This window comes from Homo sapiens, chromosome 4 (assembly GCF_000001405.40).
Source record: "Homo sapiens chromosome 4, GRCh38.p14 Primary Assembly".
Lineage (NCBI taxonomy): Eukaryota > Metazoa > Chordata > Mammalia > Primates > Hominidae > Homo > Homo sapiens.
In genome coordinates this window covers 158,092,400-158,103,659 of record NC_000004.12, presented here as the reverse complement: position 1 = coordinate 158,103,659, position 11,260 = coordinate 158,092,400, and the positions used below count along the sequence as shown (strand labels likewise).

The window sequence follows — 11,260 nt, the reverse complement described above, 5'->3', positions numbered from 1 at the left end:
ATCTAACATGAGGATTACAGCTAATCTGCTTCTTGATATGTTAGTTTGATCTTGGGACCCTTTGTCTCTCCCTATTACAACGCAGATCAAATCAAAGATACTCAACCTTGGCTCCAGAGATTTCACTCAGTGTTAAGAAACATGATTATCTTAATTTTTAAGTTTGCTTTTATTCCATTAAACTGATGAGGTGTTAACTCTGTTAAGTGAAGAAAACAATTTTTTAGATTTATAGAACTGAGGTAGAAGGTGGAATGTGACTCTAGAGGAGGGGCTTGGACACTGGACTAAATTGAGCTAAAACAGGGACAGGATAGAAACACCTTTTCATAAGACACACCTGCTAATGTCATGTCAGTTTACTATTGCCATGGCAACATCCAGGAGTTACTGCCCCTTTCCATGACAACGACCTGACAACCTAGAAGTTACCAGCCCTTTTCTAGAAATTTCTGCATAATCTGCCCCTTAATTTGCACATAATTAAAAGTTGGTATAAATACAACTGCAGAACTGCCTCTGAGTGCTACACTTAGCACACTGCCTGTGGGGTAACCCTGCTCCATAAGGAGCAGGACCTCTGCTGCTGCTGTGCACTGCCCTCTCAATAAAAATTGCTGTCCAACACCACTGGCTCCTCCTTGCATTCTTTTCTGGGCGAAGTCAAGAATCCTCCCAGGCTACGCCCCAATTTTGGGGCTCGCCTGCCCTGCATCAGAACTGAAAAAAAATCAAATGTGGTCTTTATAGTATTTTTTATTTTCTTTGCATGCTATTATATTTGGTAAATATTGCATGAGTAGTTGAAATTGATATATTATCTGAATCTTAGAAAATTTTATATGTAACTGTTAATGTTATCTCTTAAAATCATTTTTAGAATTCCCAATGACTTTTAAAATTTTATTTTGTTTCTGACCATAGACTGATTTATTTTTAATGTTTTTCACTTTAGTAATATTACCACCAATTTAGTTCACATAGACATTATTTTATATTCTTTTTCTATGCTCTCCTACTCATGACACATATATTTTATTGTCAACATTATTATTTTTAATATTTCTGTATCATCTGACTTTAGATATATCTCCATAAGTAGCAAATCTCTAAATTTGCTTTTGCAGTTCAATTTGAGATTCCTTGCTTTTAATTAAATCAATTTTAGTCATCTTATTATAAATATTATTGCCCTTGGTATAATGTTAATTTCATACTGTCATTTTTTTTTTAGGTTGCACATTTCTATTTTATCACCTGCCTAGTAAACCATGTTTTATTTACTCATATTAATAAAAACTAATCTTTGTAGTTGCCAGGTTTATTGAGCACTTTCTGTGTGCCAGATACTTTGCAAAGATTTTCTCTTTTAAGCCTTATATCCACCTGTGAGGAAAGTGCTATTATTGTCTCTGATGCATGGGCAAGGTGACTAAGCCTGAGAAAAATAGGCAGCTCCCCTAAGATCACAACAAATATAGAAAGCAGAGTTGGATTCAAACAAGTGTCAGACTCCAGAGCCAGTGTTCTTAACTGGGAGGCTACGCTCCCCCATATATTAATGCAATTAATTTTTATAATAACTCTGTGAGATGTTATTACGATATTTTACAGATGAAGAAAATGGTGCCCAGAGAGGTTAAGGACATTGCTCAATTTCACAAAGCTAGTGAGCAGTAGGCCTGGGAATCTAGTCCCTGAGGGGTGACTGGGAAACTTGGAGGTTCAGTGTTTCCTTAGGAAATGATTGGGAAGGTGGATGTTTTAATTGTTTAGTAATTTACCAAGAGACAATGAAGCATAGTGGTGAAGAATCCAATACTGAGGCTAGACAAGTTCTGAGTTTGAATCCCAGTTAGGCCACTTCCTTGCCTGGTATCTTTGGACAAGTTGCCAAACTACTGAACCCTAAGTTCTTCATCTGTAAAGTGAGAATAAAAATAGCAATACCTAGCTGACTGGACTGTTGTGAGGATTAAATAGGATAATGTATTTAAATTGCCTAGAACACAGCCACCAGCATAGAGAAAGTGCTATAAATGTTAATTCTGAAAAAGAATAGAAGCGGGATCCTCCCCTCAGGCAGGCATTTTCCGCACTCCTGCATCTTCCACATCACCTATCCTCTATTGATTGCTTCCCTCTGGCGAATCTCTTCTACTCAAGAAAAGCTTTGGTTCTTGCTCAGATTTAAGATCCTGAGAATGCACAGGATATTGGTGAGACTTCATAGGTATTTGATTATAAAGTACTTGGTATTTGATACTAAGTATTGGTATCAAATTCTCTTCATAAGTATTTGATTTAAATGTGTTCTTCGTTTATTTATTATTTCTTTACCTCTAAGCTTTTTGTCCCTGGATTCTGCAGGTTTTTCTTTATGAGTGTTTATTTAGCTTTAGATTTTGTATATTTAAAGACAATATCTCAGTAACTTTTATTTTTCCTGAAAATGTGTGTAGTTTTTAACTGTGCTAATATTAAAACCTGAACCTTAAAAAAATTTATTTAGCTCAGGAGTTTGCTATCTGCCTTCTTCTTTGAATAATACTGCATTTTTATTCATAACTTTAGTTTGGATCTTGAATCTCGGAAGAATTCTAATCAGTTGAGCTTTCTGCTTATGGAAAGAATTTCAGCAATACCTCAGAATAAGGGAGGGGCAATGCTGCGTCCATGGATGGATTACCTTGGCCTTCTCAGAGGATGGTTTAGATATTTCTAGAAAAACAGCAGTCTTTATTATAATCCACTAGCTATACTGACAAAATAGAATAACTTTGGTTAAAGTAATCAAGTGAGAGGAAATACGGTGTAGTGGAGAGAACACTGCTTGGGGTGGGGGTTAGGGAAATTCACTTTACCTGAAACTGATGCCAACATGACCATTTGTGGATGACTTTGGACAAGTCCGCCCAACTTCTGCAGGCTTTATTTTGTTCATGTTGCATGTTAGTACAGCTTCCACCTCTTCTAATTCTATAGTTGTATCTTATTGGGAGATCTAATTACTCTAGATTAAATTTTATGTTCTAAAATTTTAAATCATTCAATTAATATGAGGAATGGATGCTACTTTGAAGACTTTGGAATCAAAAGGAATATATTTTTTCTGTTCTAATACTTGAAGAGATTTCATGTGGAAGAGGGTAAAGAATTATTCAAAGCTTTCCTCAAAAACAAAAACAGAACTGTTGTTTGGAAGTTATAGCAATCCTAATTTCATGTTAATTTTATAAACCCTTTCACAATAGAGCTGTACATAAATTCTCTGCTTCTGAGGACACTTGAGAAGAGACCGAATCTCTTGTGAGATGGGTGAAGTGGATCTGACGCTGGGCTTTAGATCAGCGGTTTCTAAGCCTTGAAGATGCATGTCCTGTCAGACACTCACTGGGAGAGAAAAATTGAGGCAAGGGAAAAATTGGTGACAAGAAAGAAGAACAAATATATAGAGAGATCAGGGACATTTAAGAGTACTCTTTTCAGCCTTTTGTGGAAAAATACTGTGTTCCTGTTGCACATTAATTACTTATTAATTAAATATATTTAATGAGTGCCTAATTTACAAATAACAGCTTATAAATGTGCCTAAAGCTTACACTGTTGTGGGGAAAGGCAGATGATAAACTGAACAAATAGTAACACAGAATGTTAACTGGTCATAAGTGGAATGAGAAAAAAAATAAAACAACGTGAGGAAGTGAAAGATCAGCAGTGCTACAGCCGGGGGATTTAATTGTAAGTTGGGTGATTCTGGAAGACCTCAGTGAGAAGGTGAACATTTAGGAAATGCTGGAAAGCAGTGAGGAAGTGAACTACACATGCATTTGGGGGAAGAGCATTCCAAACGAAGGGAACATCCACTGCAAATGTCCTGAGGGGCACTGCTTTGTTCTGGAAAAAACAAAAGGTCAGCATGGCTGCAGTAAAGGGAGCCACGGTGAGAGTTGCAAAGGATGGTGTCAGAGAAGTGACAAAGGACCGGGCCATGTGGGGACTTATGTGCCCTTGTAAGGATTTGGGCTTTTACTCTGATGGATTTTGAACAAGGAGGTGACTGGACCTAACTTCTTTTTCAATAGGATCACTTTGGTTGATGTCTGTTGAATACACTGTAGGGAACAAGAGCAGAAGCAGGGAGGCCAGGTAGGAAGCGGTTTTGGTGATCCAGGTGAATGATGACGGTGGTTTGGATCACAGTGAGAGCAGTGACAGTAAACATAAGTGGTCAGATGCCTGACACATTTTGAAGATGGAATTAACAGACTGTATGTTGGTCTCAGAGAAACAGAAGCATCAACAACGACCAAGACAGAAAATAGCACAGGTTAGGCAAGTATTGTAGGGGTAGGGGTTGGGGGAGGAAGTTTACTTCCGGGCATTTTAAGTTTGGGGTGTTTATTAGTCATGGAGGAGTCTGAAAAAGAGTAGCTGGCCAGGCATAATGTCTCATGCCTGTAATCTCAGCACTTTGGGAGACTGAGGCAGGAGGATCACTTGAGCTCAGGTGTTTGAGACAAGCCTAGGCAAGACAGTGAGACCCCATCTGTACAAAAAATAGAAAAAAATTAACCTGGCATGGTGATATGCGCTTGTAGTTCCAGCTACTCAGGAGGCTGGAGTGGGAGGGTTGCTTGAGCCTGGGAGGTCAAGAGTGCAGTGAGCTGTCATTGTACCACTGCACTCCAGCCTGGGCAGGACAGTGAGACCCTGTCTGCACAAAAAATAGAAAAAAATTAGCCTGGCATGGTGATATGTGCTTGTAGTTCCAGCTACTCAGGAGGCTGGAGTGGGAGGGTTGCTTGAGCCTGGGAGGTCAAGGATGCAGTAAGCTGTCATTGCACCAGTGAGACCCTGTCTGAAAAAAAAAAAAAGTAGCCAATGAGACAAGTGGAAAAAGTAAAAAAAAGTAGCAGAGGAAGCTGTGTCTGAGGACTGAGAATTGACTATGACTATTCATTAGTGAGCTTAACATAGTAAAAATGTGGTATTTTAATCTTACGGGACCACCATTGTTATATGTGGTCTGGTGTTGGCGAAATGTCCTTATGTGCCACATGACTTTATATACTGAAATGTGGTTTAAGACGATAAGAAATTAACTTTAAAATTCACTTAACTTGAAAAATCTAATATTTTTACAGTAATTTTCTTTTTTTTTCATTATACTTTAAGTTCTAGGGTACATGTATACAACGTGCAGGTTTGTTACATATGTATACATGTGCCATGTTGGTGTGCTGCACCCATTAACTCGTCATTTACATTAGGTATATCTCCTAATGCTATCCCTCTCCACTCCCCCCACCCCACGACAGGCCCCTGTGTGTCATGTTCCCCACCCTGTGTCCAGTTGTTCTCATTGTTCAATTCCCACCTATGAGTGAGAATTATGCGGTGTTTGGTTTTCTGTCCTTGTGATAGTTTGCTCAGAATGATGGTTTTTACAGTAATTTTCAATGCTCCATATCCTTTTCCCTGCATCTTTCCCTATCTCAGCCCTAGAGGAAGATCTATTCATGACAAGGGAGAATAATTAACACTGTAAATACTTGTTTGCATGATGTGTGACCAAACCAATGAGAAAGCCAAGAGTGCCTTGAATTCATCTCCTATTATATTTTACGGAATGATCCATTAGATAAGTTATGCATTTTTATGTGATACCTATCACCATAGTGCAGAATTTTATTATTATAAAGAGCCATATTTAACAATGAAAATATAAACAATATGGATTTATAATTTTCCTAATGAACTTTCTTAACTTGGGGTTAACTTAATTACATTAACCTTCTTAATTCTCAAGGATTCATGAATTTGTCAAAGAGACTAACGTGCCAATATTCCAGTTTATTCTGTGGAAGAATATCCTTATTTGGTCAAGAGAAGAGGTAAATTAAAAAAAAATTCTTTAAAAAAGATTTCTGGCCTTAAAAACAGAAACTCCTGAGACTTTAATGAGAAAGCACCTCGTGTTGGTGGGGATATTTTAGTGAAGCTCCCAACAGAATGCCTGGGGCTTCTTTCTTTTCACTGACAAGAGTCTGTGAATATCACAGATGATGGTAGGCCTCTGACACACAGAACACAAAGACCAAATTGTATGGTAAATTTTAGATTATTGTATTTTATATAGGGAGTTCTTGTTCTGTGTTTAGAGGATGATCAGACATCCCTAAGGTACCACTTTGTCTTATGTTCTATATAGTTTTTTGTTTCTGTCATACCGTCCTTGACTTTTCTTGTTCTGCCTCCTCTGATGACTTTCAGTCAATCAAATGATGCATATTTATTGATGATCTTCCATACTTGCATGTTTTCTGTCACCTGTCTAATCATTAGGCAGTAGGACTGACCAAAGGAAAAAAAAAATAGGACTGGAGAAAATGGATGGAAATGGGGACTGGAAGAAAATAAATAAATCCTGGAATAAACTAATGGAATAAACTAATACACCCGAGGAATATAGGATCTGATTTCTACATCACAAGAGGTGAGGAAATATCAGTGAGATGTGGTGCTGAGACCTGAGAGCAGCAACAAGCATTTGTTTATGGCACGGTGCTAAACAGATGCTGTGGAGGCGACATGGATGAATAAAATAAAATCTGCCCTTAAGAAGTCGAGCATCTTGAACACACTAGGTGGTATGTGAAAAGTAGAATTAAAGTATCAAGTGGCTCCCTAATAAAAGTACAGTAAGGCCGGGCGCGGTGGCTCACGCCTGTAATCCCAGCACTTTGGGAGGCCGAGGAGGGCGGATCACGAGGTCAGGAGATCGAGACCATCCTGGCTAACACGGTGAAACCCCGTTTCTACTGAAAATACAAAAAATTAGCCGGGCGTGGTGGCGGGCGCCAGCTACTCGGGAGGCTGAGGCAGGAGAATGGCGTGAACCCGGGAGGCGGAGCTTGCAGTGAGCCGAGATCGCGCCACTGCACTCCAGCCTGGGCGACAGAGCGAGACTCCGTCTCAAAAAAAAAAAAAAAAAAAAAGTATAGTAATTAGGGAATAGCTATTGCACGAACTGTGTGTAATCTACAGCCAAAATATTAGTAAAATTTGAATCCAAAATTTTACTTTATGAAATGCCCCCTTGTTGAAGATTTTATTGCCATTCATTTTTTTTAAAATATCTCCAATCATCCAAACTGAAGAAAATGAGCTTTCATTTCAGTCTGGGTAAGTGAAGAAGTGAAGCAATAGCCATCTCCCACCTCTGCTCCTGGGCCTGTGTGCTGGTAGCACCCTCCAATCCCATTCTGCTGGAGGAGAGGTTAAGAAACAGCCCAGAACCAACCCAAATGTCCATCAATGATAGACTGGATTAAGAAAATGTGGCACATATACACCATGGAATTCTATGTAGCCATAAAAAAGGATGAGTTCATGTCCTTTGTAGGGACATGGATGAAGCTGGAAACCATCATTATTAGAAAACTATCGCAAGGACAAAAAACCAAACACTGCATGTTCTCACTCATAGGTGGGAATTGAACAATGAGAACACTTGGACACAGGAAGGGGAACATCACACACTGGGGCCTGTCATGGGGTGGGGGAAGTGGGGAGGGATAGCATTAGGAAATATATCTAATGTAAACGACGAGTTAATGGGTGCAGCACACCAACATGGCACATGTATACATATGTAACAAACCTGCATGTTCTGCACATGTACCCTAGAACTCAATGTATAATTAAAAAAAAAAAAAAAGAAAAAGAAACAGCCCAAGGTCAGCTTTCAGAGCATTTTAGTTAGCTGTGAAAACTAGCATCTTTCCTTGCCTGGGAGACCAGTGATAGAAGCGACCTCCTGGAACTCTTAAATCTCTGTCAGGATATTTGCCTGCCTGAACTTGATAGGAGGGAATAAAAATTGTGCTTCCTTTCAGGCTAATTGACATGTTCACTGGGTCCCCATGTATGCTTTTCTGTAATCCACCTCCAAGCACAGAGATTGAATCTGAAACCTGGAAATCAACTTGGATATTCGTAACGAAGTTGACATAAGCAATGTCAGATAGGCAGAAGTAAGCACTACTAAGCACCGAAATCAAATCACTGTTCAATCACCTGCAATAGTTGGTCAGGAAGCATTTATTTACTATTTTTACAGACCATTACATTTCCAAATGCTTCCACAGAATTCATTCCAATTAGAGCAAATTATTCACTTGGTAGATGTTAGCTTTGATCCTGAATAACCTTTACATTATGTTCATTTTTTTCCTTTGCCAACGATTAGCCTACTCTATAAATCTAGGTGTTACTGGAAAGGGGTCCTGATCCAGACCCCAAGAAGAGGGTTCTTGGGTCTTGCACAATAAAGAATTCAGAGTAGGTCCACAGAGTAAGGTGAAAGCAAGTTTATTAAGAAAGTGAAGGAATAAAAGAATGGCTACTCCATAGACAGAACAGCGGCATGGGCTGCTGCTCTGTATACTTGTTGTTATTTCTTGATTATATATTAAACAAGGGGTGGATTATTCATGAGTTTTCTAAGAAAGGGGTGGGGAGCTCCCCCAACTGAGGGTTCCTCCCATGTTTCTAGATCATCTAGGGTAACATCCAGACATTGCCATGGTATTTGTAAACTGTCATGGGCTGGTGGGAGAGTCTTTTAGCCTGTTGATGCATTATAATTAGCATAGAATGAGCAGTGAGGATTACCACAGGTCACTTTCATTGCTCTCTTGGTTTTGGCCAGCTTCTTTGCTGCATTCTCTTTTATCAGTAGGGTCTTTGTGACCTGTATCTTGCTTTCTCATCCTGTGACTAAGAATGCCTCACCCCCTGGGAATGCAGCCCAGCAGGTCTCAGCCTCATTTTATCCAGCCCCTGTTCAACCTTGAGCCAGTCCAGTTCCAATGCCTCTGACACAGGTAGAAAGAAGAAACACCGAAACAAATTTGTACAAGTGCAGCATTTGTGTAGCATTTCTTTTGATGTGTGTTTTGTGCAGATGAAACAAACATTAAAATTTTCAGAGATTTCTTTTATAACAGTAAATGTGTCCTATTTGTTTCCAGCTCTTTGACATTGGACAAATTTTTATTGTTGCTTGATCATCAGGGTGAGTAATCTGCTTTTCTGATTGGAGCTTGGATTTAATCACACTTCAAAAAATTATTTCATCTCAATGAATAATAGGAAGAACTTCTGCAATATTTCATAAAGCTGGCATTAGTGTGATGACTTTAGCCTAATTACAAAGCTGTGTAATAAAATTTTACAATTCAAGGTGAGACTATCATGATAAAGGCTAATCATAATGAATGCTTGTGGGTGCTACTTGCTTTCTTCCTCTAAGTAATACACACCACTAAATTCAATGGAATTCAGGCAGAATCACTGGTTCCCACCCTTCTTGTTCATCATTCATTTTCTGTATTTTTCTTCATCTGTGGTTTGCTGTAGTTTTTTCAGCTAGTTCTGACCTTGGAGTGTTTTTTTTTTCTTTCTGGATAACAGTGTGGACAAGCATCTGCTTCTGCAGTTGCTAATGCCAAGGTTATTTGCCAAGAACAGAACACAGGTTTCTCAACATTTTGCAAGTAAATGACTCTTAAACAAATTCATGAGAATGAGAATATTTTGCAGTTAAAAAATAATAAAAAATATGTTCACCATTTGTGGAGATGAAAGATGTTCATAAATTATACATTTGCTTCTCGAACGGGCACAAAATCTCTACCTGTCTCACATCTCACTTTCCTTAACTCAGGTGTCTGCGTTTGATCTCGTGAAAGTTTCAGAATGGGCCTGGCGCGGTGGCTCATGCCTGCAATCCCAGCACTTTGGGAGGCCAAGGTGGGCGGATCACCTGAGGTCAGGAGTTGGAGACCAGCCTGACCAACATGGAGAAACCCCGTCTCTACTAAAAATACAAAATTAGCCGGGCGTGGTGACGCATGCCTGTAATCCCAGCTACTCGGGAGGCTGAGGCAGGATAATTGCTTGAACCCGGGAGGCGGAGGTTGCGGTGAGCCGAGGTCGTGCCATTGCACTCCAGTCCAGCCTGGACAACAAGAGTGAAACTCCGTCTCAAAAAAAAAAGTTTCAGAATGATGGCCAAAACAACATTTCTCATTTAGCATAGTAACACAGATCTTCGTGGGAGGTAAGCAGCAGCTTATTTTTTCATAGTTCTTAATTTTAATGCATCTTTTAAGTACATCGGCCTTCAGGGTTATCCGTATTTTGTACTGATGTGGGTACTATTGGGTGTGACATGTTTCAGGAAGATAGGTAAGGACTTGGCCCATATTTTCAGAAGAAAAAAAGTCAACATTATGGGCAGCCAATGCTTAAATCTCCACTTCCCATTTTTAAGAAGTGTCTATGGCCACCCCTCTTTCCCATACAGATTCTGAAAGATTGAAGGAGGTTGGCACAGGGGATAAGAAGTCCCAGCAGGCTATTTCTTTCATGATTTATTTTTTTACTTCCTGACATCTCTGATGCTTATTTTGACCTGATATCACCTGTGAAATGTTGTTAGGGGACACAGGTGTGCTCACTATTGTGCTTTGTGTCCTCCCTGCCCACGCATCTCCAGAGAGGGTTATGCAAACCAAATACAGTTATTTTATACTTTTCAATTCCAGTGAAGTCATGAGATGCTTTGTTAGAAATGCTTCTAGGAAAAAAATAAAATTAACCCAGATTAAATTTTAGTTATCATTGCCAACTTCTCATCTTTTGTAACTTCATTAGGAAATTTTATGAAAAGCTTCTTACCGACCTCTTTATAAACATTTTTTGCCTTTTCCACAAAATGTTGTCTTAAAATTTATATAGAATAAAAATCTTAACTGGCTTTAACATGGTGATTATGAATGGATTTTGCATACTCTTAAAATGAGTTCTTCATAAACCAATTAACTAATTGTAGGTTAATTTGATAACCCAACTGGGTTATCAAAGAAGTTTCCCTTATGTGGACATAGTTTTTGTACTGAATGTATCTATATAAGCTACTTTAAATCATTTCTGAATTTCTTATTGTTAAGAAATAAGTGACATTTGGCTGGGTACAGTGGCTCACACTTATAATTCCAGCACTTTGGGAAGCCGATGCAGGCGGATCACTTGAGGTCAGGAGTTTGAGACCAGCCTGGCCAACATGGTGCAACCCTGTCTCTGTTAAAAATACAAAAAAATTAGCCGAGTGTGATGGCAGGCACCTGTAATCCCAGCTACTTGAGAGGCTGAGGCAGAAGAGTCCCTCGAACCCAGGGGGCAGAGCTGA

General features: G+C 39.1%; 1 annotated feature.

The window, feature by feature from the left end:
- Nucleotides 8,335-9,534: an enhancer, noted in NCBI's record as "P300/CBP strongly-dependent group 1 enhancer chr4:159015278-159016477 (GRCh37/hg19 assembly coordinates)". NCBI's record gives its function as "activates an origin of replication core promoter dependent on BRD2, BRD4, P300/CBP, MED14 and CDK7 cofactors, with strong dependence on P300/CBP, by STARR-seq in HCT116 cells {active_cell/tissue: HCT116}" and the evidence as "EXISTENCE:reporter gene assay evidence [ECO:0000049][PMID:35650434]".